Raw genomic sequence first — 27,600 nt, 5'->3', positions numbered from 1 at the left:
CTGACCTCAGGTGATCCACCCGCCTCGGCCTCCCAAAGTGCTGGGATTATAGGCATGAGCCACTGTGCCTGGCCTGATGTAGGCATTTCTTTTCTTTTCTTTTCTTTTCTTTTTTGAGATGGAGTCTCGCTCTGTTGCCCAGGCTGGAGTGCAGTAGTGCGATCTCGGCTCACTGCAATCTCCGCCTCCCAGGTTCACGCCATTCTCCTGCCTCAGCCTCCCAAGTAGCTGGGACTACAGGCACCCGCCACCACACCCAGCTAATTTTTTTGTATTTTTAGTAGAGGTGGGGTTTCACCGTGTTAGCCAGGATGGTCTCAATCTCCTGACCTTGTGATCCACCTGCCTCGGCCTCCAAAAGTGCTGGGATTACAGGCGTGAGCCACTGCGCTCGCCCTGATGTAGGCATTTCTTAAAGAAGCACGGTGCGGGGTGGAACCCAGGAGAGTGACTTTGGTTCCCAGCTGTGTCCCTGAGTCATTATTTGGCCTTGGCAAGTCCCTTCCCTTCTTTGTTTTCCCATCTCCAGTGTCTTGTGGTCTTAAGTCCTTGGGTTAGAATTAACTCAACAGCTCATAGCAGCTTTCGCCTCCATTCGTCCTCACTAAATAGACTGGGGGAGCTGAGGACGCAGGCACTCTGCTAGAGGCCAGGCCTCTCTTCCAGGCCTCCAGCTGGTATGCACCTTCCTTCAGGTACCCCAGAGCTTGGGTCATGGCCCAAGTATTTCCCAGAGAGGAGGAAGAGTATGTTTTAACCTTCCCTTCCAACCTTTTTTGGCGCTGTGCATGGTGGCACGTGGCTGTAATCCCAGCTACTCAGGAGGCCGAGGCGGGAGGATTGCTTGAGCTCAGAGTTGTTCAAGTCCAGCTTGGGCAACATAGCAAGACCCTGTCTGTAAAAAAAAAAGAAAACTTTTTTTCCTGAACTTTTACTAAAGAAAGATAAGCACATGATTTAAAAAATAAAATAGCCAGGCGCGGTGGCTCATGCCTGTAATCCCAGCACTTTGGGAGGCTGAGGCGGGCGGATCACCTGAGGTCAGGAGTTCGAGACCAGCCTGGCCAATATAGTGAAACCCTGTCTCTACTAAAAATACAAAAGTTAGCCAGGTGTGGTGGCACACGCTTGTAATTCCAGCTACTCGGGAGGCTGAGGCAGGAGAGTCACTTGAACCCGAGATGCAGAGGTTGCAGTGAGCTGAAATAATACCACTGCACCTGTGCATTTGCAGAGGTTAAACATTCCCATGGCGTGACTCCTCAGTGACTCTCTAGATTGGTGGGTCTTGGCACTGACCACACCCTGGAAATACTGTGGAGTTTAAAAACATCGTTGCATCCTGGTCCCACGCCCAGAAATGCTGATTTATTGGACCTGGGGTGTGGGCCTTGAGCATGAGTTTTATAAAAGTTCCTCAGGTGATTCTGAGGCCTGAAGTGTTAATAAGCACTGCTCTAGAACTGTCTCCTCAGAAAGCCTGGTCTACTGGCCTGGAGTACAGTTTCCTCTGGGAGCTTTTAACAAATGCAGAATGTTAGGGTCAGCCCTAGGCAATCTGAGTCCAAGCTATGTGTTAAAAAGATCCCTGGCTGGGCGTGGTGGCTCACACCTGTAATCCCAGCACTTTGGGAGGCCGAGGTGGGCGGATCACGAAGTCAGGAGTTCCAGACCAGCCTGGCCAATATGGTGAAACACCGTCTCTACTAAAAATACAAAAATTAGCCTGGAGTGGTGGCATGCACCTGTAGTCCCAGCTACTCGGGAGGCTGAGGCAGAAGAATTGCTTGAACCTGGGAGGCAGAGGTTGCAGTGAGCCGAGATCGCGCCACTGCACTCCAGCCTGTGTGACAGAGCAAGACTCCGTCTCAAAAAAAAAAAAAAAAGATCCCTGAGTGACTCATCTGTATGTTCAGGTTGGAGAAGCCCTAGGCTGGAGAAGCCCTAGGTCTAGGTCGGGGGCTCCCCAGCGTGGCTGTGTATAAGAATCAACTGCAAGTGTTTACAAATTCCAGCCCGCAGCCTGCAACCCACACCAGTTAAATCAGAAAGTCTGGAGATGGGGCCCACAGTGCTCTCAAGAAACCCTGATGTTGATAACTTTCTTCTTATCAAGGTGATGTTTGCTTTCCCTCAGGTCATGCGAGGTTATAGATCAAAAGTGATTCTAAGGTCAAAGTGTATCGAAACCAAAGGCTTTTTTTTTTTTTTTTTAAGACTGAGTCTCGCACTGTCACCCAGACTGGAGTGCAGTGGCACCATCTCAGCTCACTGCAAGCTCTGCCTTCTGGGTTCAAGCGTTTCTCATGCCTCAGCATCCCAAGTAGCTGGGACTACAGGCACACACTGCCATACCTGGCTAATTTTTGTATTTTTAGTAGAGACAGGGTTTTACCATGTTGTCCAGGCTGGTCTGGAACTCCTGACTTCAAGTGATCCGCCTGTCTTGACCTCCCAAAGTGCTGGGATTACAGCGTAAGCCACCGCGCTTGGCCTTTTTTTTTTTTTCGTTTGTTTGTTTTAAGAATGCAGAGCTGGCGGGGCATGGTGGCTCATGCCTGTAACCCCAGTACTTTGGAAGGCTGAGGCAGGTAGATCACTTGAGGTCGAGAGCTTGAGACCAGCCTGTCCAATGTAGTAAAACCTTGTCTCTACTAAAAATACCACAATTAGCCAGGTGTGGTGGTGTGGGCCTGTAATCCCAGCTACCTGGGAGGCTGAGGCAGGAGAATCGCTGGAACCCGGGAGGCAGAGGTTATAGTGAGCCGATAGGATATGTGCCACTGCACTCCAGCCTGGGTGACACAGCGAGCCTCAGAAAAAAAAAAAAAAAAAAAAAAACCCGCAGAGCTAACGTGGTGTCAGGGAGAAAAGTCCGATCGGGATTCTGGCTTGACACTGAAAAGCAAGTTGTAGGATGGTCAACTCATCCTTCTTCCTTGGATTTCAGGTGCCCTGTGCACATAACGAGGGTGGCCCATTCAGTGATTGGTCCTGGATCCTGGGATTTCTGATGCTGCTAACGACCCCAATGACATCCATGATGATAGTTTTGTTTGTTTGTTTGTTTTAGATGGAGTCTTGCTCTTGTTGCCCAGGCTGGAGTGCAGTGGTGCAAGCTCCGCTCACTGCAACCTCTGCCTCCCAGGTTCAAGTGATTCTCCTGCCTCAGCCTCCTGAGTAGCTGGGATTACAGGTGCCTGCCACCACGCCCGGTTAATTTTTGTACTTTTAGTAGAGACAGGGTTTCACCACGTTGGCCAGGCTGGTCTTGAACTCCTGACCTCAGGTGATCTGCCCGCCTTGGCCTCCCAAAGTGCTGGGATTACAGGCGTGAGCCACCACGCCCAGCCAATGATAGTTATTAGTCTGTATATGCATTTGGTCCCCTTGGTTAAGAAGCCTGTGTTAGGGGTAGGGCTCATGGCAGCACTTAATGAGACCTCACCCTGATGTCTGGCTGGGGTCTGCACTGAGACAGCGGGCGGGGATCCAGGGCAGAGTGTAGCTAGCCTGGCTATAGCAGTCCCTGAGCCCAGAACCACCAGCTGCAGCGGGAGGAGAAGCAGCAAGTAGCGCTGTTCCCACCCTGTGGGAATTCTCTGCCATGTCAGCCTGCACTGAGGGGGACGCATGAGCTTACACAGATCTTCTCTGTCTCTGGCAGGCCTGGAGGTTGAAGAATCCACTGTGTATTCACGCATGATTCAGGCAGCTGTGCAGCAGAGAGATACCCACCTGACCATCACCCCGACAGTGCTGGGGGAGAGGCACCTGCCGGACCAGCTGGCCTCAGTGACCAGAATCTCCTCCTCCGACCTCTCCCTGGGGCACGTGACCCGGGCTCTGTGCCGAGGCATTGTTCAGAACCTGCACTCCATGCTTCCGATTCAGCAGCTCCAGGAGTGGGGCGTGGAGAGGGTGATGGGCAGTGGGAGTGCGCTGTCCAGGAATGACGTGCTGAAGCAGGAGGTGCAGAGGGCTTTCCCTTTGCCCATGTCCTTTGGGCAGGATGTGGATGCAGCTGTCGGGGCAGCTCTGGTCATGCTCCGGAGACACCTCAACCAGAAGGAATCTTAGACAGCAAACTCTTTCGCCAAACGACTGCTGTGAATTTTACCTGATTAACATTCCTGACACCATCTGTGGGTCATCCTTTCCCTGGACCGTTCAGTGGACAGCTTTCAAGCAGTGCTTGTTGTGAGGTCCCATCTCGGCCAAGAACTTACCTTCAGAACATACTCTAATAATGCAGCCAGGAGCCGTCAGCCAGATCCCAAATGAGTGCCTTCCGAAATTGACCCACCTGGGAGCTATTTACAAATGTCCATGTGGGAGAGAGAGAGCATGAGAGCACAGTAGCCCAGCCTGCTGGTCAGCAGGCTCATCTGTGGTTCACCTGTAGACAGAGAGCAGATCAATGTGTACTTCAGACACCAGAAAGTCTGGTGGCTTTGGTCCCAAGTGGGAAAAGAGAACTGCCCCATGCCCAGCTTGTGATTATCGTTTTTGGAGACCTGAAGCCCACACTCGGGTCGTATGGACTTCTGGAAAAGTTCTTGTCTCCTGGACTGAACCATGTGACCGGAGGCCCCTTTCCTAGTCTCATCCTCCCCTGGCTGCAGATGCTTAGCTGGGCCAGGGATTGACCCAAGCGCGATGCAGCAGGCAGGCTCAGAAGACGATGCGGGGCTGTGTGCCGGCCTTCTTGCTGCATGTACTCAGCCTCAGGAGAGCTTGCTGCACCCAGGCCGCCCAGGTCTTCACAGCACAACTGCCTGGAAGGCAGGTTGCGAGAAGGAGAGGCGGATGGCATGAGCAGCAAGGGGGACCGATGCTGTGCAGCTCACACCACTCCAGAACCTGACAAGGCACCAGCAGGACCCCTTGCCAGGAGCATGTCTGTGCAGCAGTGTTTTTGCCCCTGCACATTCCAGAAGCCCTCATGGGAAGGGATGCAGCCAGGCAGACTCCTGCCAGATGGGGCAGGTAGTTTATTCAAAGAGAACTCTGTATCCCATAGGCCCAGGCTCTCCTTTCGCTTGGCGTGGGCTTTGCTGGCCCAGTGTGTGCTCCTGGCTCAGCAGAAACATCCATTTGAGTTGGCATCCCTGTAGGGATCCCAGAGCGTTGTAAGCCTTCTTGTGATTGGTAGGGATGGCTGTGGGGTGGCTTCCAGGAGGGGGCCACCATTGCCGCATCTACTTCTAGACTCCCAAAGGAGCCCAGGCTCAGGCAGGCCTGGCCCAGAGTCACGCTGGCAACCACGAGTTTGGGAAGCAGTCGTATTCTCTCTCTCTCTCTCTCTCTCTCTCTCAGTATCCATGACAGGTATGAAACATATTGTCTCTTTATAAATGTCATTTTACAAATTATGTGATTATCTGGAAGCTCTAAGATGAGAGCAAATGCCTGATCACTCTGGCCAAATGTCAGATACTAAAGCCCATTCTTGGCCGGGCATGTTGGCTCCCGCCTGTAATCCCAGCACTTTGGGAAGCCCAAGTGGGTGAATCACCTGAGGTCAGGAGTTCAAGACCAGCCTGACCAACATGGGGATACCCCGTCTCTACTAAAAATACAAGCCGGGCGTGGTGGCGCATGCCTGTAATCCCAGCTACTCAGGAGGCTGAGGCAGGAAAATCACTTGAACTCGGGAGGCAGAGGTTGCAGTGAGCTGAGATCGCGCCATTGCACTCCAGCCTGGGTGACAGAGCAAGACTCTGTCTCATAAATAAATACAAAGCCCATTCTTCCAGAGTCTTGTGCCTTAAATAAAACACACCTCTCTGCTGTGGGAAGACTGTGCAATGGCACAGCCGCAGAGCTTGGTTTGGGAGGTTGAAGTGCTCTGGGGAGAATTCGTAGATCATCCTCAGAAAAGCCTTGCCCTGGTGTTCTACCAGAAAAACGTCTCCCAATCACCCAGGAAAGCTGTCCACAGTAGTCCCCCCTTATCCACGGTGTCACTTTCCATGGGTTCAGTTATCTGCGGTCAACCACGGTCTGACAATATTAAATGGAAAATTCTTCAAACAGTTCCCAAGTTTTCCCTTGTGCATTGTTCTGAGCAGTGTGATGGAGAGTCTCTGCCGTGCCATCTGGGATGCAAACCGTCCCTGTGTTCCCCACGTCCAGGCCGTAGATGCTCCCCGCCGGTCAGTCACTTAGTCGTCAGATCGCCCGTCCTGGTATCACAGTGCTTCTGTTCAGGTCAGTCTTTTTTTACTTCATTAGGGCCCCAAAGCACCAGAGTAGTGATGCTGGTAGTGATGCTGGCTGTTCGGATATGCCAAAGAGAAACCGTAAGGTGCTTCCTTTAAGTGAAAAGATGGGAAGAAAACAGTCATATGCTGAATCTTCTATCTGTGAAATTCTAAAGAAAAAGAAATTCGTGCTAGTTTTTTTTGCCTTTTTTTTTTTTTTTTTGAGACATAGTCTCACTGTGTCACCCAGGCTGGAGTACAGTGGTGCAATCTTGGCTCACTGCAACCTCTGCCTCCCGGGTTCAAGCGATTCTCTTGCCTCACCCTTCTGAGTAGCTGAGATTACAGGCTCCTGCCACCACGCCTGGCTAATTTAGTTTTAGTAGAGATGGAGTTTCATCATGTTGGCCAGGCTGGTCTCGAACTCCTGACCTCAGGTGATCCACTTACCTTGGCCTCCCAAAGTACTAGGATTGCAGGCGGGAGCCACTGACCCCAGCCTCATGCCAGTTTTGCTGTCACACCTCAAACTGCAAAAGTATGGTCACAGTGTGTGATAACTTTTATTAGAGTGTATTGTTAAAACCGTTCTACTTTGGCTGGGTGTGGGGGCTCACACCTGTAATCCCAGCACTTTGGGAGGCCGAGGCGGGTGGATCACCTGACATCAGGAGTTTGAAACCAACCTGGCCAACGTGGTGAAAACTCGTCTCTACTAGAAATACAAAAGTTAGCTGGGCATGATGGCACGCGCCTGTAATCCCAGCTACTTAGGAGGCTGAGGCAGGAGAATCGCTTGAGCTCTGGAAGCAGAGGTTGCAGTGAGCTGAGATCGCACCACTGCACTCTAGCCTGGGTGACAGAGCGAGACTCTGCCTCAAAAAAAAAAAAAAAATTGTTCTACTTTATTGTTGTTGTTAATCTCTTACTGTGCCTAATTTGTAAATTAAATTATATTACAGATATGTATGTGTAGAAAAAACATGGCATATGCAGGATCCAATACTAGCCTTGGTTTCAGGCATCTATGCAGGGTCTTGGGACATATCTCCTGTGGATGACAGGGGGCTACTGTATTTTTTTTTTCTTTTAGGCAGAGTCTCCCTCTGTCGCCCAGGCTGGAGTGCAGTGGTGCGATCTCAGCCCACTGCAACCTCCACCTCCCGGGTTCAAGCAATTCTTGTACCTCAGCCTCCCGAGTAGCTGAGATTACAGGCATGTGCTACCACACCTGGCTAATTTTTGTATTTTTAGTAGAGATGGGGTTTCACCATGTTGGCCTGGTCTTGAACTCCTGACCTCAGGTGATCCACCTGCCTCAGCCTCCCAAAGTGCTGGGATTACAGGCGTTAGCCACCATGCCTGGCCTGCTACTGTAATTTTTCTTTCAGCCAAATGAGTTTAAGATGCTGTCATTGCAGCCCTGAGGAAGGCTGCATGAGAGAGAAGAGTAGGCTGAGTTTACCAGCGTCCTTTGTCTTTTGGGAGGAGCCAGGCCGTCTAATCTCAGAGTGGCAGCCTGTCTCGCCTGCCCAGCATGCAGTGGATGGGGTCTGCAAATGTAAGGTTAGGAACGGGATGGACATCCAGCAAGCTCAGGCAGCCCAGCCTTGTGCCTGGTGTGGCCCCGGAACTCTCTGTCCTCTTTCCAGACTATGCATTCACTCTGCCTCTGAGGACTGAGCCTTGGAGGGTCCCAGTTTGTCAATAAACAGGGCTGCTCCTGCTGCTTCCGTTGCCTGAGGCCTGGAGCCTCCGTCTAGGTGGGGGATGAGTGCAGCTGCCTGAAGTCACAACCACGTGCACAACCCACCCTCCTTCCCAGGAGGTGCCAGTAAGTGGTTTGAGGCCGGCATGCTTCTGAAGAAGTGGTGAGCGGGGCTCCTTTGCTGGCCGTCAGTATCCCGATGCTATGAGCCCACGGCAGGGCTGCACCTTCCCCCCGATCCGCTTCGGCCAGTGGGACGTGCACAGGGAATGCCTGTCACTCCTGGGCAGAGGTCTTTAGGAGCCAGTGAGCTACTTGCCACACACCCTTCCCTTTGCCACAAGTGACTGGCAGTGCCCCAGAGAGTGGTAGCTCTGTCAGCCTGGGTCCCTGAGTGAGGACAGTGTGGTGTAGAGTTCTCACCAACCAGCGAGGGACGTGCAGTGGGACAGAGAAGTAAGCGCCCTTTGGTGCAGTGCCTCACACCTGTAAACCCAGCACTTCGGGAGGCCGAGGAGGGCGGATCACTTGAGGTCAGGAGTTCCGAGACCGGCCTGGCCAACATGGTGAAACCCCGTCTCTACTAAAAATACAAAAAAATTAGCCGGGCATGGTGGTCGGCACCTGTAATCTCAGCTACTTGGGAGGCTGAGGCAGGAGAATCGCTTGAGCCTGGAAGGCGGAGGTTGCAGTGAGCTGAGATCATGCCACTGTACTCCAGTCTGGGAGACAGAGCGAGATTCTGTCTTTAAAATAAATAAATAAATAAATAAATAATAAACCTTTGATGTTTGAAGCCACTGAGATTTGGGGGTTGTCACCACAGCAGAGCAGCCTCAGTAGCCTGCACCTGGGACGTCTCCCATGCACCCAGCACAGACCCAGGCAGCCACATTTTCTGAGCGCCCAGTAGTAGCTGGGTGTTCTCTCAGAGACTGCCCCCCGTTGAATTTCCATCACGAGGCAATGGAAAAATACCAACAGTTGGTTACATAAACAGACCCTAGGAAAAGAAAAAGACACAGACAATGACAGCACCTCTATGCCCAGAGGGAGGAGAAATTCATTCTTTACACAAGTCACATTGAGCTAAACCTCCAAGGGTTTCCATCCATGGTTACTAACGACAGTTAACATTTCTTTTTGAGTACCTGCTGTGTACTGGGATCTGATCTAAACTCTACTTGTTTGAATTCATTGAATCTTTTTTTTTTTTTAAATGGAGTCTCACTCTGTTACCCAGGCTGGAGTGCAGTGGTGCGATCTCAGCTTACTACAACCTCAGCCTCCCGGGTTCCAGCAATTCTCATGCCTCAGCCTCGCGAGTAGCTGGGATTACAGGTGTACACCACCTCACCTGGCTAATTTTTTGTACTTTTAGTAGAGACGGGGTTTTGCCATGTTGCCTAGGCTGGTCTTGAACTTCTGGCCTCAAGTGATCCACCCACCTCGGCCTCGGAAAGTGCTGGGATTATAGGCATGAGGCACCATGCCAGGCCTCATTTAATCTAGAAGGTGGGTAGTGTTATCCCCATTTCACACATGGAGAGATAGATAAACAAAAAAGTTAAGTAACTTACCTGAGATCACAGTGCTAGGATTCAAACCCCAGAGCGAACCCACTCTCTTTAGCAACTAGGCAGTGGGGTCAGGCTAGGTAAATGTGTTTACATTAAAGTGATCGTCATGTCCAGAGTGTGACAAATTGGTGTAACTTGGTCATAGTGTGAATGGAAGGATGTTTATAGGAGTTGTGGCTGGACGTGTTGGGCAGACTGTGAAGGGTCTTGCATGCCCGCCTGAGGGGATTGGACTGTCTCCTGTAGACAGTGGGGTTTGGAGGACTGGGGCCTTGGGAGTGTAGCTGACAGTGTGGACGCTGGATTGGAGGAAGGGTGTTCTGGGAGACAGGAGGCTGTAAAACAGCCTGGAGAGATGGTGGGCCAGACCCAGTTCAGGGCAGGGTAGGGGACTCCAGCCCACCAGCCGCTGCTTTTCCTCCCGCCACACACTGCCTGCCTCTGGGCCTTGACCCCGTCCACATCATGTGTATGTGGCTTTCATGTTCTCTACTTTTCTCTTCTTCTTCTTTTTTTCTTTTTCTTTTTCTTTTTTTTTTTTTGAGACTTTTTGAGAGTCTTCCTCTGTTGCCCAGGCTAGAGTGCAGTGGTGCGATCTTGGCTCACTGCAACCTCCGCCTCCTGGGTTTAAGCAGTTCTCCTGCCTCAGCCTCCTGAGTAGCTGGGATTACAGGTGCCTGCCACCACACCCAGCTAATTTTTGTATTTTTAATAGAGACGGGGTTTCACCATGTTGGCCAGGCTGGTCTCAAACTCCTGACCTCAGGTGATCCGCCCGCCTCAGCCTCCCAAAGTGCTGGGATTACAGGCATGAGCCACCACGCCTGGCCTATTTTTCTCTTCTTCTGAAGTGGACTGAAAGCTCTTTGAGAGCAGGTGCCTAGGTGTCCTCAGCCCTGTCCTCCTGCACCTTAGCTCATGCCAAGGCCCATGTTTGGAATGTCCTCCTTGTGGGGCAGAATCCTTCTCCTTGTCCAAGGCCCAGCCCAAATGGCATCTGCCCTCTGCAAAGGGCCTCCCTGGTGACACATACGCCATCTGATTACAACTGCAGGGGAGGCCAAGACCCGGCTCAACATTTGTTGTTGGCATGGTCTGTTGGCCCCAGAGCCCCTGGCCTGTGCCTGTTACAGGGTGCCCTGCCCTGCCTAGTGTCAAGAGAGAGCCTGTGCACATCTTCCTTTCCTGTCCATCGTGGGCTTCTTGAGCGCAGAGACCACCCTGTTGACCCTACTGCTCTGCTAGGGGATTTGTATAGCACATGGTGGGCCCTCAGGAGAGAGGGTCTCACCTGGCCTCTCCCCTCAGCCACAGGTAGATGGACAGGCCAAGTCTTTGAAAGTGGGAGAGTCCTGATACAGAGATGCTCACTTGCGTGACTCATCAAACATTAAGCAAACCTTGTTTTTTTCATTAAAAAACAATTAGTCATAACTTCGAGCTAATGGCCGGATACAGCTCAGCAGTCAGCAGATGTGGTCCTCAGGCTGAAATAATGAAGATGAGAGCAGTCATCTCTCATGCCTGCCTAGAGCTTTACCAGGCTCAGAGCCCATTCACACCCACTATCCTGACTAATCCCAGAAAAGCCTCGTAAAGCAGGTAGGGCAGGTGTTCTTGGCTGTAATTTTGTGGAGGAAGAAGTAGACCCAGAGGTTCAGCTACCAGCCGGAGTCCATACAGCCGGCATCTAGCACACGCGGGCCTCTTCCATCCAAGGTCCAGGTTCTACCCACCTGCTGACCCTCCATTGGCCCTCGTCCCTCTTGTTCCCAGTCCCTGCCCTGGAACACAGCTCTGCAGAGCGGGGCTCCAGCGTTCTGTGCTGACTGGGTGTCTGACCCCTCCCCAGCTCAGACTTCAAGCTCTAGCCACTTCTGGAGGGTGCTGACCGGCTCGCAGACCGCTGCCCTCCACGGAAGCTGGTCTTTTAGACTCTTGGGCACCCGGTGACAGGAACACAGAGACGAAATGCAGGAAGGAGGGTATTTTTCTTTTTTTTTTTAATTTTAATTTTAATTTTTTGAGATGGAGTTTTGCTCTTGTTGCCCAGGCTGGAGTGCAATGGCGTGATCTCAGCTCATGCAACCTCCACCTCCTGGGTTCAAGTGATTCTCCTGCCTCAGCCTCCCGAGTAGCTGGGATTACAGGCATGCACCACCACGCCTGGCTAATTTTGTATTTTTAGTAGAGACGGGGTTTCTCCATGTTGGCCAGGCTGGTCTCGAACTCCCGACCTCAGGCGATCCACCCGCCTCGGCCTCCCAAAGTGCTGGGATTACGGGCGTGAGCCACTGAGGCCGGCTGGGGCTCGAATCTTGAGAGGAACCCAGGTGAGTGAAGAAAAGAAATTTGTCTCCGATGGCCAGTGTCAAGAGCTCAGCTTAATGTCAAGAACTCAGCTTAAGTCAATGTGCCCCCTAGTGGTAACACTAAGAGAAAACTGTCACCATTAGCGACGGTGGCGGTGTTTAGCATCTGCCATTCCAGATTTGGCCCAGCCGCTGGCTGGCGCGTCCGCAGACGCTTTCCTGAGCTGCCTCTCGCTCCCATCAAACCTGAACTTAGAAAACCACCCTCCCTCCCAGAAGTCATTAAAACTTTTCTACTCACAAGGAGTTTTAATGGGTACATCATTACATAAATGCAAGAACATCCTGTTTCAAATGATGACCCAGAAAACCACACTGATGGCAGTGATGGCCAGCCCTGAGGTCTTGTCCCCGCCACCATGTCGAGAGTTTTAGTGGAATCACTCCGTGAAGGTGCTGTTCAGATAAAGCCAAAAACCACGCCAACAAACGTTTCCTGAGTGCTGCTTTGAGCAAGGTGCAAGCTAGGTTCAGAGAGGGGAGGGCACGAGAGCCGTATGTATCTCACCCTGGAGCTGCTTAAATCTGCAAAGCAAGACACAAGAAAATCATGACGTTACATGTCTATACAAGATTTAGAAAGCTCCAGACGAGACTAGTAGAGCTGTCACTGTCCTTCGGCAGGTGTGTAGCCTGTCTGTGCTTCTTTCCTTATCAGTAAAACGGGGACAAAATTGTACTCACCTCATGAACTCTTACTGAGGTCTGATGAGATAGTGCATATAAAGTGCTCATGCCAACACCCAGGACGTTGTACGCACTCAACACATATTCACAGCCATTACTGTTGTCATCATTGTGGCCATGAGTACTGTGCCCGTTGCCATAGGAAGCGCATTGGTTGAAGTTCCTGTAGGAGTTTAGAAGTGAGCACTTCTGGAGTTGGGCGTGGTAGCTCATGTCTGTAATCCCAGCATATTGGGAGACTGAGGTGGGGGATCACGTGAACTCAGGAGTTTGAGACCAGTCTGGCAAGATGGCGAGACTCTGTTGCTACCAAAAAAAAAAAAAAATCCGAGCGTGGTGGTGCACACCTGTAGTCCCAGTTACTTGGGAGGGTGAGGCAGGAGGATCCTTTGAGTCCAGGAGGTGGAGGCTGCAGTGAGCTATGATTGTGAGTCCCTTGCATTGGGTGACAATGCAAGATACCACCTCTTTAAAAAAAAAAGGTGAGAAATGAGCTCTTTATGCTGGGGCCTTTGGGAGAAGGTGGGATTTGAGCATCCCTAGGGCTCACCTCGCACTTGAAGATGGGTTAAGTGGGGTACTGGGATGGAGGAGGGTGGGGGAAAGGGTGGAGTCAGCACGTTTAGTGTGGCTGGGAAGGGGTGTGCCCAGGTGACAGAAGGTGGGTTTCGGTGGGAGAGGAGACTGGGTCTGTGGGCTCAGGGTGCGGGGGTGGGGCGTTGCTCAGCAGTGGGGACCCCTGAGAGGCAAGGGGGCCTGATCAGGATGAGCTTCCAGGACTGTTGATCTGGAGGTGAGGGGTTGTGGGAGGTTGGACCAGGGAAAGGAGGCACTTCTGGTCATTCAGGTGAGAAGAAGGGGCTCCCAGGTAGAGGAGGGATGGACGGAAGCCACAGAAACAGCCCAGGGAGGGCCGAGAAGGAGAGGCTGGAGGTCACAAAGGGCACCGGGTTTGGTGGCCAGAAGGAAGTTGATGCCTTTCCAGGCAGGGACTGCTGCAGGGAGCGGGAGGGGAGTGAATGTGGAGGGAACAGGAGCCCATTGTGGGTTATGCTGGGGGGAGGGGGCTTGTGGGCTTCACCTGCAGATTCAGGGAGGCAGGGATGGAGCTCAGGGAAGAGGGCTGGGTGGACTCTGGATGAAGCAGCCGCTGACTTGGACACATCAGAGAGGTCCTTGGGAGGGGCCAGGCGAAGGTCTCCAAGGACAGTGGTGGAGCTGGAGAAGATAAGGCTGCGGACGGGGTCCTTGGACCCCCAGGTGTGGGGAACGGCAAGAAGAGGAGAGCAGCCAGGGAGTCCCGGCAGGAGTGGCCAGGGCAGGAGGAGGGCCGGGACTTCCCCTGCAGGCCTCTGAGCAGGCACTGTGCCCTGTAGACTCCGGTGATACTGTTAGCACCAAGGGCTCTGTTAACAAAGAGGACAGGACACATTTAGTGATGTGTGCTGTGTTCACTGGAAATGGTGCTGTCTTTTGTTTTGTTTCGTTTTGTTTTTTTTAAATGGAGTCTCGCTCTGTAGCCCGGGCTGGAGTACAGTGGTGTGATCTCAGCTCACTGCAACCTCTGCCTCCCAGGTTCAAGTGATTCTCGTGCCTCAGCCTCCAGAGTAGCTGGGACTACAGGCGTGCACCACCACGCCCAGCTAATTTTTTGTATTTTTAGTAGAGACAAGGTTCCACTATGTTGGCTAGGCTGGTCTTGAACTCCTGACCTCAGACAGTCCGCCCACTTCTGCCTCCCAAAGTGCTAGGATTACAGGCTTGAGCCACCGTGCCCGGCTCCGTGCTGTCTTTATTGGAGGCAGAAATCACTTTGGAGGCTAAGGCAATGGTTCTGGAGAAGAAGCATGACCATCCCCTTTCCCAGCCATTGCTCTATCCCACATTGTTAGAAGGAAATGATCCCAGAGGACTAGAAAGTTGAGAGGTCACCACTGCTGAGTCTTTTATATATGACAGATCCCACTTCTGGGTCTATATGTGCCCAAAAGAATGGAAAGCAGGGACAGGACCAGATATTTGCACGCCTATGTTCATAGCAGCACTAGTCACTATGGCCAAAGGTGGAAGCAAGCCAAGTGTTCATCAGCTGGTGAATGGATGAGCAAAATGTGGTCCATCCATCCCACGCCCCAGTGGAATATTACTCAGCCTTAAAAAGGAAGGAGGGCTGGGTGTGATGGCTCATGCCTGTAATCCCAACACTTTGGGAGGCTGAGGCAGGTGAATCACAAGGTCAGGAGATCGAGACCCGCCTGGCCAACATGGTGAAACCCCATTTCTACTAAAAATTAGTTGGGTGTGGTGGCATGCACCCGTAATCCCAACTACTCGGGAGGCTGAGGCAGAAGAATTGATTGAACCAGGGAGGTGGAGGTTGCAGTGAGCTGAGATCACGCCATTGCACTGTAGCCTGGGGGACAGAGTGAGACTTCATCTCGAAAAAAAAAAAAAGAAAAGAAAAAAAGGAAATTCTCTTACAGGCTACTACATGGATGAACCTTGAGGAAATTATGCTAAGTGAAAGAAGCCAGTCACAAAAAGCAAAGAGACAAATACTGTATGATTCCTGACCAGAGGACTCCTAGAATAGTTAAATTCATAAAGACAGGAAGTTGAATGGTGGTCGTTAGGGGGTTGGGGTCGGGAAGGGGAGTTAGTGTTTAATGGGTGCAGGGTTTCAGTTTGGGATGATGAAAAAGTTCTGTGCATGGATGATGCTGATGGTTGTACAACAGTGTGAATGCACTGAGTGCCACTGAACTGTACTGTTAAACATGGTTAATACGGTAAATTTTGTTATATATATTTTGCCACAACTTATTATAATATATAAATATATATTTTGAGACAGAGTTTCGCTCTTGTTGCCGAGGCTGGAGTGCAATGGTGTGATCTTGGTTCACTGCAACCTCCACCTCCCGGGTTCAAGTGATTCTCCTGCCTCAGTCTCCCGAATAGCTGGGACTACAGGTGCCCACAACCACGCCCAGCTAATTCTGTATTTTTAGTAGAGATGGGGTTTCACCATGTTGGTCAGGCCTGGTCTCAAACTCCTGACCTCAGGTGATCCACCTGCCTCGGCCTCCCAAAGTGCTGGGGTTACAGGCATGAGCCACCGCGCCCGGCCTTTTGCCACAATTTATAAACAAGAATGAATTCTAACGTTCATATTAATTGAAGCTAACATGACACACATAGCATAAACAGGTGTCTAAGCGGCCAGGCGCGGTGGCTCACGCCTATGATCCCAGCACTTTGGGAGGCCGAGGCAGGTGGATCACTTGAGGTCAGGAGTTTGAGACCAGGCCTGACCAACATGGTGAAACCCAGCCTCTACTGAAAACACAAAAATTAGCCAGGCGTGGTGGCACGTGCCTGTAATCCCAGCTACTTGGGAGGCTAAGGCCGGAGAATTGCTTGAACCTGGGAGGCAGAGGTTGCAGTGAGCCGAGATTGCGCCATTGCATTCCAGCCTGGGAGACAGAGCGAGACACCATCTAAAAAAAAAAAAAAAAAAAAAGTGACTAAGCGAGGGGTATGGTGGGGTGTGGCGTGGTGGGATGGGCCTGGCTTTTATGCCTAGACCAACGTGCGGCCTGGGCAATTATCTAATTATCGGTTGTCTAATTGCCCAGCGTCACACATTTCTCACCTGTAAAATGGGTATGACAGTCTCTGCCCTCCCACTGCCCGGGGTTGCTGTACGGCCTGCGAGAGCGGGTTTGGGAAAGCTCTTTGTCAACTGCTGTGCGGAATTGATGGGGTGGCCACACTTCAATGCCTTGACTCAGGGGTCAGAGCTTTCAAGCGACCCCAGGCAGGGTTACGAGGGCCTCCCTGGCAGTGGCTGCTTATTCCAGGCTGGACCTGCCCTACGGCTTGTTGGCGTCCCGCAGGCAGCTGCTAGGATGGTTTTTGCAGGGCATTTGGGCCGCAGCCTGGATGCATACCTAGACCTCACTGTTTTTCTCAGCCAGGGTCTGGGAGAGAATGAAACCTATTGTTCTAGTTATCTGCTGTATGTGACTCTCTCCTGTGCGTTTCTCTCTTGTGGGTCTTCTCTCCTGTGCATTTAGGGTGGTATGAAGTGAAGAGAGAAAATAGACACTTGTGGCCGGGCGCAGTGGCTCACGCCTGGAATCCCAGCACTTTGGGAGGCCGAGGCAGGTGGATGACGAGGTCAGGAGTTCAAGACCGGCCTGGCCAACATGGCGAAACCCTGACTCTACTAAAAATACAACAATTAGCTGGGCGCAATGGCAGGTGCCTGCAATTGCAGCTATTCGGGAGGCTGAGGCAGGAGAATCGCTTAAACCTGGGAGGTGGAGGTTGCAGTGAGCTGAGATCGCGCCATTGCACTCCAGCCTGGACGACAGAGTAAGACTCTGTCTCAAAAAAAAAAAAAAAAAAAGGAAATGACACTGATAGTTATCTGTGTTTTGTGGTTCCCTGAGGAACCCCCAGTTGAGAAGAAAGGCTGGGACCTGGCTGACCCAGAAGACCCCCTCGACGCCAACCCCTACTCCAGGTTTGGGGACCCAGGAACGAGAGGCCTAAGAGAGTTAGGGACTAGTTCAAGGTTGCTCGGACTCTCAAAACAAGTCCCTAATGCCAGGCCAGTACTGTGTGGCGGGCAGCACGACCCTCCATTCCCTCTTTATTTTGAAAACGGAACAGTTACAGGACGCTAGTTTTGACGTCGCTGGTTGTGAATGTCATTTGTGGAGCCGTTTCCCAGACCTCCGGGGGCAGGAGCCACAGGTTTGAGAGGCCGAGCAGCGCCCTCCTTTCCTGAGAGCTGAGGTTGCAGCTCTGGCTGGCTCTGGTAAGTGCTCTGCAGCCCTGGCATGGCTGGAGGAGGGGCAGCAGCTAAGTGGTTTCTGAAAAAGGGCAAAAATGATGGGAAAAGCTTTGGGATCCTCTGGGAATCAGAGCCGCAGCAAAGGCAGCTGCTTGCATCGCTGGAAGCGTTTTTTCCTTGAGTGCCGAAGGGCGTCCACAGCGACTCCTGCTAGTGCAGGGCAGCTGCTGCCAGGGCCGGGCCCGGGACCCCACGGAGGCGGGGAGACCACTCTTCTCCCACACGAGCCCAGCTCTCCCTTCGAGTAGCAACCGCCTTCAAGCTCACAAGCACCCGTGGGCCTGGGGTGTGCCTGCGTCTAGCTGGTGAGTCCCTTTCTTTGTCTGATGGCCAATGCAGACATTAGCTTTTAAGATGGCATAGTGAGTGGCCAAAAGCCGGGCCCTGTCACTTCCCAGCTGTGCGACTGTGGGCAGGTCCACTCACCTCTCTGTGCCCCAGTTACCTTATCTGAAAACGGGGGGTAGTAAGAGTGGCTGCCTCAAAGGTGGTCGTGAGGCTGAAGCGAACTTGTGGTGCCCTCAGCCTGGCTCCTTGGAAGCACCTGGGAGGTGAGAGTGGAGGTTGTTGTTACTGGGGTTTGTTCTTGTTGCTCCTGCATCAGCCGTCCTCGGGGGAGGAGGCTGCAGCTGCTGCTGAGATTGCTGGTGTGTGGCCGGAGGTTTTCAGCGTGTCGCCCTCTCTGTGGAGTGGACGAGCGCAGGGCTGGGAAGCAGGCACACTGGGTCCTTGTGCTGCTGTCCTATCTCTTTGTTCTTCACCCCTGGGTTGGGAAGCCCGCAGCCTACTGCCTCCCTTTGACAGAAGGGACTACTGAGAATAATCTGGCTGGGTCCTGGGCCAGCGTTCTCCCAGCTTCCAGAAAGTCCCCAGTGGCGAGCGGGAGGTGCTCCCAAGAACTTGGATGGATGGATGGATGGATGGATGCTTTGGGCAGAGAGAGGAGCAGGGGAGCCACACCCCATGTTGTCTCACTTGCATTGGGGAGAGAAGGGATCCTTCCCCCAGAGGGTAGGCAGTATCTGTTCTGGCTTTGGAGTTGAGAAAGACTCAGATCATACCACGTCTCTGTGGGCAGAATCGATTCTTTTAGGATTGTCCTTTAGTCCAGATTGATGAGTTTGTGAGTCTTGTGTAAACCAGAATCACCATCTCCATCACACAGCCAACACTCGTTTGCCTAAATCACGGTAGAAGTTCCCCTGATCACTGTAGAATGTTTTGCGGTGACAGGTGCATCACCACGGGCTTAGGTGCAGGGTACACTCCAGGCCTGGCAGTGGAGGGCTGTCCTGACCCTGTTCCCCGGCCCAGCCCAGGGCACATGACCCCTCAGTTCCTGTCCCACCCCGTTCCCTGGAAGAAGCTTGGTTTCCAGTAGGGAATCAGGTGCAGAGTGTGCAGTATAGATTCAGCGTTTGTCGACTGACTGAATGATAGCACAATCCCGGCTGCTTCCTGTTGGCTGGGTTTGGTTGGACTGGGACCCGTCAGAGGAAAAGGCAACGCCGCTGACAAAGAACATTGCCGAAAGGTTCATGGGAGGCTCCGGCTAACAGGTGCTCTCTTGCTGGGCTGCCTAACGAGCAGCCCCTATTCTTATTCTTAGCTTATTCTTGGAGACCATAGACATCCCTGGGACAGCCAGGCATGGGTATGACCTGGGTCTTATTCACACTGCATTTTGGGGTTCCTGAGCTGCTTGTTTGAGCGAGAGGTGCTTCAGGTTCAGGTCTTATGCCTAGCCCCTTGGGTGAGAGGGCCTATTCTGATTGGCCCCCAGGCCCTGCTGTGGAGTCTGGGTCTGAGTTGAACTGCTGAGAAAGAGCCCCAGACCTCCAGCATCGTGGTGGAGCACTGGAGATGCTCTGGAGCCAGCCTGCCTGGGGTCAAGTCCGGGTTCCATCTCTGACTGTGTGACCTCGGGGACGTGCCATAACTGCTCTGTGCCTCGGTCTCCTCATCGGTGAAGTATTTCCCTCTTAGGGATGTTGTGGGAATGAAGTGGGTGAAGGAATGCGAGTCCTGAGAACCGTGTCTGCTTTGTGCACGTGCTCAGACGCATCAACGATTCTGCTTCTCATTCGCTTCTGGTGCCTTTTAAGTGCTGCCAGGGCTGTCCGCACTGTGAACGGTCCTTGACGGGGTGTTATCTTCAGAAAGGGAAGACTAGCACCCGGCCCCCCAGGCTTCCAAAGCATCATCCATGCAACCATGTTGGCTTTCAATTCCTTGGAGTTAAGGCTGACGGCCATCTGGTTCTAACCCGGCCTCCTGTCTTCCTGTCCCACTGACTTCCCGTTCTTCAGCTGCTCTAGGCTTCCCTGTCTGTCTCCAGACCCTAGCCCACCTCTGTTCCCTTCCCAGGCTCAGCTCATCCATCACCAACTGCCATGGACCCCTCTTCAGCACCCTGCCCCCTCCTGCAGTCCCTCCGCCCAGCCAGTACCTGGTTTCTGTCTCAGCGGGGAGCTGACTCCTCTCTGTGCCCCCAGCGCAGGGCTGGACTCTGAGGAGGAGGACTCAGTAGATAGGTATTGAGTGATGAGATGAGGGAATCGGCTTTCTGTGGCCGGGAACACTCCTGCTGCAGGGGGTCCACCTGATGGGTGAGTCAGAGAAAGACTCAGGCCTGTTGAAAGTGGATCAACAGGCAGGCAGGGAGATGGCCAGTAGCCAGCCGTCCGTCCTGTTCACAGCCTGCGGAGTGGTGAGGCTGCCTCTGTGTTTTCATGGATCTGAGATTCAGAACGTAGCTGGTTTACAGCCATGGCCCAGTTGTGTGCTCTGGAGTTTCACTGCCTGAATTTTAACTTGAAAATGTAGGACTTGGGAGTCTCTCTGAGCCATTCTGGCTTGGGAGATTGCCTGATTATATATTTCAAAAAAAAAAAAAAAGAAAATGCAGGACTTGAGAAGCCTCTCATTTCTTCTGCGGCTGTTTTCCGGAATGTAGCCACTGCTGGAACAGTAATCTCCCTAACTTCCTATGGAAATGGCAATTAGAAGGGTCTGATTGCTCTTATTTCCCCATGTGTGCAGCTGCTGCTGCTGCTGCTGCTGCTGCTTCTTTTTTTTTTTTTTTTTTTTTTTTTGAGACAGAGTTTCACTCTGTTGCCCAGGCTGGAGTGCAGTGGCACAGTCTCAGCTCACTGTAACCTCTACATCCTGGGTTCAAGCGATTCTCCTGCCTCAGCCTCCCGAGTAGCTGGGATTACAGGCGCCCGACACCACGCCCGGCTAATTTTTGTATTTTTTTTAGTAGAGATGGGATTTCACCATGTTGGCCAGGCTGGTCTCGAACTCCTGACCTCAGGTGATCCACCTGCCTTGGCCTCCCAAAGTGCTGGGATTACAGGCGTGAGCCACGCGCCCAGGCCAGTACAGCTTCTTCATAAGGAGATGGACCAGGAAAGGTCCCTGCCCAGGAGGAGGTCACAGGGTGCGGGAGAGATAAATCAGTGACAGATAGCAATTGCTGGACCACATGGTAGGCTGTGTGGGACAGGCGGTCAGTGGGCTGGGCCACTGTGTGGAGGACAGCGGGGAGCATGAGCAGGGCAGGGATCTGGGGGCTTCATGGAGGAGGCGGCATCAGTGCTGGATCCTGAGGGGAAGTAGCATCTGAGTGGTGATAGGACTTGTGCAAGGGTAGACAGAGGAAAAAGCCCTTAGGTGGAGACCCGATGGGAATAGAGGCTATGGGAGGGATGTATGGGCCACCCCTGGGTGCCAGGGAGTGGGGATGCCCAGCCAGAGGGAGGGGAAGCATGGGGATGGGGCAGGATGGGAGTGGAAAATAGCATCAGCTCATGTGTCCAACTACACATGCTGCTGCCAGCGGCCAGCTGATCTCTAGGTGTTTAGGCCTAGAAGACCAACCAGCTCCAAATCACTTAAAGCCTAAACGTTCCCTGTCTCTACTAAAAATACAAACATTAGCCACGCATGGTGGCGGGCGCCTGTAATCCCAGCTACTTGGGAGGCTGAGGGAGGAGAATCGCTTGAACCTGGGAGGTGGAGGTTGCAGTGAGCAGAGATTGCCCCATTGCACTCTAGTCTGGGCGACAGAGTGAGACACACAGACACACACACACACACACACACACACACACACACACACACACACACACACACACACGCCTAAACATTCAAGGCCAGGATGCTTGACAGATGTTGATTCATAAAAATGACAAAAAGCACAAAATCCAAAATCTCGTATAAGCTCAGTGGCTGTGGCAGCGAGGTTGAAGAGCAAAGGCAGGCCGGGCACCTGGCTGATGATGTGTGGACCCGTTGCACAGCAGGGCCCCGCAGTGCGGTGTGGGTGTGGGTGGGCCAGTCTCTGCCGCTCACCCTATTCCAGGGACACAGTCTGCTTGGCTCTTCTGGACTGAGCCATCCTCATCACCGAGATCCTCCCTGAATTCAGCCCACGACAGCCACCCCGGCCGTTTTCCTTGTTCTGTGTGGGGAGGGAGGCAGCGCGGTGGTTATCAACCTCACCCTGCAGAGGAGGCACCTGAGGCCCAGAGACGAGGAGGGATGGGTCTAACCCAGAACCACAGATGGCTCTGAGCCGGGGGCCTGTCCACCCTCCCAGGCCGACGTCAGTGGCCGCAGGACTGCCTGGGCCCTGCTAGGCCTGCTCACCTCTGAGGCCTCTGGGGTGAGAGGTTCAGTCCTGGAAACACTTCAGTTCTAGGGGGCTGGGGGCAGCAGCAAGTTGGAGTTTTGGGGTACCCTGCTTCACAGGGCCCTTGGCAAGGAGGGCAGGTGGGGTCTAAGGACAAGCAGTCCTTACTTTGGGAGTCAACCCCGGCGTGGTGGCTGCTGCAGGTTGCACACTGGGCCACAGAGGATCCAGCAAGGATGAAGAAATGGAGCAGCACAGACTTGGGGGCAGCTGCGGACCCACTCCAAAAGGACACCTGCCCAGACCCCCTGGATGGAGACCCTAACTCCAGGCCACCTCCAGCCAAGCCCCAGCTCTCCACGGCCAAGAGCCGCACCCGGCTCTTTGGGAAGGGTGACTCGGAGGAGGCTTTCCCGGTGGATTGCCCTCACGAGGAAGGTGAGCTGGACTCCTGCCCGACCATCACAGTCAGCCCTGTTATCACCATCCAGAGGCCAGGAGACGGCCCCACCGGTGCCAGGTAAGTCCGCGTCTGGAGCCCCCCTCCCTGCTGGGAGCCCAGCTGGCCATGGAGATGCCACAGGGTGGTCTGGCTTCTGGGCTAAATGTCACAAAGCCAGGGGGCTGGAGAGCCTTAGGGGTGGTCTGGTCCAGCGTCCTTCCTCATGTGACCTCGTGGGATGTGCAGTCACGGGGGCTGGTGTCTGTGCTGGGTCTAGGTGTCCACGCCCGCAATGCCTACCAGCCACAGACACTTGGACTTGAAGTCTAAAAGCTCAAGGGCAGGAGGCTTTTGGAGAGCACAGCACAGCTCCAGTGAGCTGCAAGGCAGGGCAGGGAGGGCCACAGGCTGGCTGACTTCTGGGGAGTGTGAGGCCACCTTTTCCCTTAGAGGGGCTGTCTACACCCCTGCCTCCACCTCCCTCCGTCCCCACCAGGCTCCTGCCTCCCGAGCTCCCGAGCAGGCAGAGAAGCCAGTGGTCTGGGAGTAGGAGGGTGACTTTCTAGATGGTGTCTATAGACAGGGTGGGGACAGAATGGGGACACATGCCCTCCACTGTCCCTGTTACATTGCTTTTCTGGACAGTCACCTAGACTGAGGGGCAGCTTTTATATCATTTTTCCCCTTTTTGGTTTGCCTTGGGATTTAGTCGTGTTCCCTTGACAAGCTCCGAAGGCCTCAGGGCCGAGGGGAGGCCAGGGTATGAGACGAGCGTGTTTTCTGGCCCACAGGCTGCTGTCCCAGGACTCTGTCGCCGCCAGCACCGAGAAGACCCTCAGGCTCTATGATCGCAGGAGTATCTTTGAAGCCGTTGCTCAGAATAACTGCCAGGATCTGGAGAGCCTGCTGCTCTTCCTGCAGAAGAGCAAGAAGCACCTCACAGACAACGAGTTCAAAGGTGGCCCCAGCGCTGGGCTCGGGGAGGGCCCCAGCCCTGGCCTGCCCTGACCCTCCCTTATGTCTTTCAGACCCTGAGACAGGGAAGACCTGTCTGCTGAAAGCCATGCTCAACCTGCACGACGGACAGAACACCACCATCCCCCTGCTCCTGGAGATCGCGCGGCAAACGGACAGCCTGAAGGAGCTTGTCAACGCCAGCTACACGGACAGCTACTACAAGGGTGAGGAGGGCGGCGGGGCCGGGCATGGCTCAGCCCGCAGCACCGGGAAGCAGGGGGGCATGGTTGTCCCTGGGCCTCCTTGCTTCTCTGGGATCCTTACTCCCTGTCCCAGCCACTGCGTTGGTGGCTCCTAATCCTAGGGGGTCCCTGCCTCTCCCATCTGCTGGCTTGATTTCTCCTGGTCCTGGGGGTCTCTGCCTCCCCGATCTGATGTCTCCTCTCTTGACCCTGAGAAGTCCCTGCCTCCCCCTGCTGACTGGATGGTCCCTGTCCCTGGAAGTCACAGCCTCTGGCCTTTCTCTCTGCTGCTGTTCCTTGCCCCCGGGGCAATTTTGACTCCTCTGGCTTCCAACCCGTTATTTCCTGTTCCCAGGGGTCTCCTGTCTCAGGACCTTGCTGGGACCCCTTGGGGGACCCTGGCCTGGCCTCCTGCAGTGGGGGGGTCCTCCAGGCACTTTCTGCCCAGTTCCTCCTGCAGCAGCTGCTGCCTGCCCAGAGCCCTTCCCCAGCACCTGTCCCGGCAGCCCCACAGGACCGTGACCACGAAGCCAACCGTGCGCGTCCTCTGTAGGCCAGACAGCACTGCACATCGCCATCGAGAGACGCAACATGGCCCTGGTGACCCTCCTGGTGGAGAACGGAGCAGACGTCCAGGCTGCGGCCCATGGGGACTTCTTTAAGAAAACCAAAGGGCGGCCTGGATTCTACTTCGGTAGGGAGACAGTGTGGCAGACCCTGATCTTTTTGGCTTTTGCTAAGGGGAGGTTTGGGCAGAGACAGAGGGAGTTTGGAGGCCGGTGGTTCAGGGGCCAGCTGGATCTCACTCCTGAGGCCCACCTGGGCCCTGTGTTCATGCAGGTGAACTGCCCCTGTCCCTGGCCGCGTGCACCAACCAGCTGGGCATCGTGAAGTTCCTGCTGCAGAACTCCTGGCAGACGGCCGACATCAGCGCCAGGGACTCGGTGGGCAACACGGTGCTGCACGCCCTGGTGGAGGTGGCCGACAACACGGCCGACAACACGAAGTTTGTGACGAGCATGTACAATGAGATTCTGATGCTGGGGGCCAAACTGCACCCGACGCTGAAGCTGGAGGAGCTCACCAACAAGAAGGGAATGACGCCGCTGGCTCTGGCAGCTGGGACCGGGAAGATCGGGGTAAGAGGGGGCTTCGGCTCAGGCTGGTGCGGTGCGGGGCTGATGGCATGGGAGAGGACTGCCTGACTCACTGCGGGAGCCTGGCGTCGCTATCTGTGTGTGCGGGACTCTGATTCTGTCATACCAGCCTGTAGGGCTGTTAGAATAAGTCTGAGAAATTGGGAGCCACAGGGCAGAACCCTGCAATGGCCAACGTGCCATTTTGAATTTCCAGCTCTGAGTATCAGCAACAAGACATGGGGTGGGGTAGGGTGCTGGGCAATGGAGGAGGGACTGCCTAGGGTGGAACAGAAGAATAGCTGTTGGGCTGGGCACGGTGACTCACTCTTGTAATCCCAGCATTTTGGGAGGCCGACGTGGGTGGATCACCTGAGGTTAGGAGTTCGAGACCAGCCTGACCAACCTGGTGAAACCTCTACTAAATATACAAAAATTAGCCAGGCATGGTGGCAGGTGCCTACAATTCCAGCTACTCAGGAGGCTGAGGCACAAACATCACTTGAACTTGGGAGGCGGAGGTGGCAGTGAGCCAAGATTTTGCCACCGCACTCTAGCCTGTGTGACAGAGCAAGACTCTGTCTCAAAAAAAAAAAAAAAGGAAAAAGAAAAAAGCTGTTGGTGTTTTTCCATGGCAGGCAGGAGCATGGCAGGCAGGAGCTTTAGGTAACAAGGCTGATGGCTCCAGCTCCCAGCTCCAGCTGGTGGCTCCTGGTGACAGGCCTCCAGCTCTTGGCCTCAAGTGATCCTTCCACCTCAGCCTCCCAAGTAGCTGGGATTACAGGCATGAGCCACCCCATCTGGCTCTCATTTCTTGCATTCTCTTTCTTTCTTTCTGGCTTGAGGTTATCGAGAATGGACCACCGCTGTCCTTCATGGTGAGATGGTAGAGCTGGGGCCTCGCCGTGAGGGGATTGTGGGCCTGATATGGTGCAGGTAGTATCTGAGGCAGCTGGCTGGTTGACGTTTGTGTGTTTTGTTTTTTTTTTTTTTTTTAGATGAGGTTTCGCTCTTGTTGCCCAGGCTGGAGAGCAGTGGCACAATCTCGGCTCACTGCAACCTCTGCCTATCAGGTTCAAGTGATTCTCCTGTCTCGGCCTCTCAAGTAGCCGGGATTACAGGAACACGCCACCATGCCCGGCTAATTTTTTTTTTGTATTTTCAGTAAAAACAGGATTTTGCCATGTTGGCCAGGCTGGTCTCAAAATCCTGACCTCAGGTGATCCACCCGCCTCAGCCTCCCAAAGTGCTGGGATTACAGGCATGAGCCACCCGTGCCCGGCCGGCTGGTTGATCTCAGTGGTGGTCAGGAGTGGGTGGGGACTCGCCTGGGGCTTAGGTGGGGCCACCAGCTGGGCTGGGAAGCAGAGCTGGTTGTTGAGGTACTGTCTGAGGCTGAGCCTGGGGCTGGCCTCTGACGGGCTCTTGCTCCCCGGGGGCAGGTCTTGGCCTATATTCTCCAGCGGGAGATCCAGGAGCCCGAGTGCAGGCACCTGTCCAGGAAGTTCACCGAGTGGGCCTACGGGCCCGTGCACTCCTCGCTGTACGACCTGTCCTGCATCGACACCTGCGAGAAGAACTCGGTGCTGGAGGTGATCGCCTACAGCAGCAGCGAGACCCCTGTGAGTGGCTGGGGCACAGCCAGGGAGGGCCTCAGGGCCTCTGCACCCAAGCCCCAATCCCAGCCCCTGGTCCAGCTCCAGCTGGCTTCTCAGGAGGGAAAGCCTGCTGCGCCCGGGCCCAGGCCCTGCAGCCTCACGTTCCCCACTCATGCCCACTGAATTTTCCCTAAGCATAGCAACCATACGTGATTATCATCCCATAAAAACAGAAACGTTTCAGAGGGACATGGACAAAAGGACCCTCCTTTTATACTATTTAAAAATGCACAGTTTCATTTTGTTTACATAAATGAGATCAGACTATACACAATGTACAACAACCTTTTTTTTTTTTCACTTGATGGCAGGGCGTGTAGATTTTTCTTTTTTTTTTTGAGACGAAGTTTTGCTCTTGTTACCCAGGCTGGAGTGAAATGGTGCCATCCCGGCTCACTGCAACCTCTATCTCCCGGGTTCAAGCGATTCTCCTCGAATCCGAAGTAGCTGGGATTACAGGCATGCGCCACCAGGCCCTGCTAATTTTTTGTATTTAATAGAGACAGGATTTCTCCATGTTGGTCAGGGTGGTCTCGAACTCTTGACCTCAGGTGATCCGCCCTCCTTGGCTTCCCAAAGTGCTGGGATCACAGGTGTGAACCACTGCGCCAGGCCAAGAACTTATTTTTGTGTAGGTGTGAAGTAGGCATCTTACTTAAATATTTTGGCTCCAAATGAATGTCTTAGTGTTACGTAGTGAGTAATCCATCCTGCCACGCTGTTTGGAAAGGCCACCTTATCTGTCCCTTCTTTCTAAGGTGATGCTCTGAGCTCCTAAGGCAGACTTGGGGGCTAGAGTCTGTGCCATCAGCAGTGAGGGGCTTCCACGACATCTCACAGGTCAGAGGTTGCGTTTACAGGAGCAGAGTCCGGGGCTGGGAAAGGCCTGGTCTGCTCTGCCTCCCCTGGGCTGCCATGCTGAACCTGGGCCTCCAACTCAGAGTGCTGGATACAAGTGTTCCCAGAGGAGAGGTCCAGATAGGAGGTGGCCTCAACAAGGACTGCAGTATTTGACCTGGGGGAGAGGCTCTGGGACCACCACTGACATCTTCATGTCTCTAAAGGCTCTCAGGGACAAGGAGTGTGGACTTGTCCTGGGGACCCTAGGGCAG

At 53.6% G+C, this 27,600-nt stretch overlaps 2 protein-coding genes across 5 annotated transcripts in view, besides 2 other annotated features; both read left to right on the top strand.

Annotated features, from left to right (window-relative positions):
- Nucleotides 1-6,400, top strand: part of SHPK (sedoheptulokinase) — a 28,011-nt gene extending 21,611 nt beyond the window's left edge. Inside the window, exon 7 of the mRNA NM_013276.4 lies at nucleotides 3,668-6,400. Coding sequence (NP_037408.2) covers nucleotides 3,668-4,080 — 413 coding nt within the window. The 3' untranslated portion in view covers nucleotides 4,081-6,400. The remainder of the gene's footprint in view (nucleotides 1-3,667) is intronic.
- Nucleotides 4,838-5,339: an enhancer, noted in NCBI's record as "H3K4me1 hESC enhancer chr17:3512595-3513096 (GRCh37/hg19 assembly coordinates)". NCBI's record gives its function as "activates a minimal SCP1, AML or CMV promoter by ChIP-STARR-seq in primed H9 embryonic stem cells {active_cell/tissue: H9 hESC(primed)}" and the evidence as "EXISTENCE:reporter gene assay evidence [ECO:0000049][PMID:30033119]".
- TRPV1 (transient receptor potential cation channel subfamily V member 1) overlaps nucleotides 5,229-27,600 on the top strand; it is a 43,966-nt gene continuing 21,594 nt past the window's right edge. Inside the window, exons 1-8 of one of the 4 annotated variants that reach the window (NM_080704.4) lie at nucleotides 5,229-5,331; nucleotides 6,075-6,213; nucleotides 22,257-22,573; nucleotides 23,287-23,453; nucleotides 23,524-23,676; nucleotides 24,248-24,388; nucleotides 24,535-24,833; nucleotides 26,273-26,452. In NM_080704.4, coding sequence (NP_542435.2) covers nucleotides 22,290-22,573; nucleotides 23,287-23,453; nucleotides 23,524-23,676; nucleotides 24,248-24,388; nucleotides 24,535-24,833; nucleotides 26,273-26,452 — 1,224 coding nt within the window. In that variant the 5' untranslated portion in view covers nucleotides 5,229-5,331; nucleotides 6,075-6,213; nucleotides 22,257-22,289. Of the gene's footprint in view, nucleotides 5,332-6,074; nucleotides 6,214-17,597; nucleotides 17,723-18,808; nucleotides 18,977-21,762; nucleotides 22,574-23,286; nucleotides 23,454-23,523; nucleotides 23,677-24,247; nucleotides 24,389-24,534; nucleotides 24,834-26,272; nucleotides 26,453-27,600 lie in introns of those variants that run through there. The other 3 variants (NM_018727.5, NM_080705.4, NM_080706.3) reach the window with 3 other exon arrangements.
- Nucleotides 19,830-20,330: an enhancer, noted in NCBI's record as "H3K4me1 hESC enhancer chr17:3497604-3498104 (GRCh37/hg19 assembly coordinates)". NCBI's record gives its function as "activates a minimal SCP1, AML or CMV promoter by ChIP-STARR-seq in naive H9 embryonic stem cells {active_cell/tissue: H9 hESC(naive)}" and the evidence as "EXISTENCE:reporter gene assay evidence [ECO:0000049][PMID:30033119]".

Source organism: Homo sapiens, chromosome 17, assembly GCF_000001405.40.
Source record: "Homo sapiens chromosome 17, GRCh38.p14 Primary Assembly".
In the NCBI taxonomy this organism is placed as follows: Eukaryota; Metazoa; Chordata; class Mammalia; order Primates; family Hominidae; genus Homo; species Homo sapiens.
The sequence above is the reverse complement of the archived record's forward strand: the minus strand, read 5'-3'. Positions and strand labels throughout refer to the sequence as shown.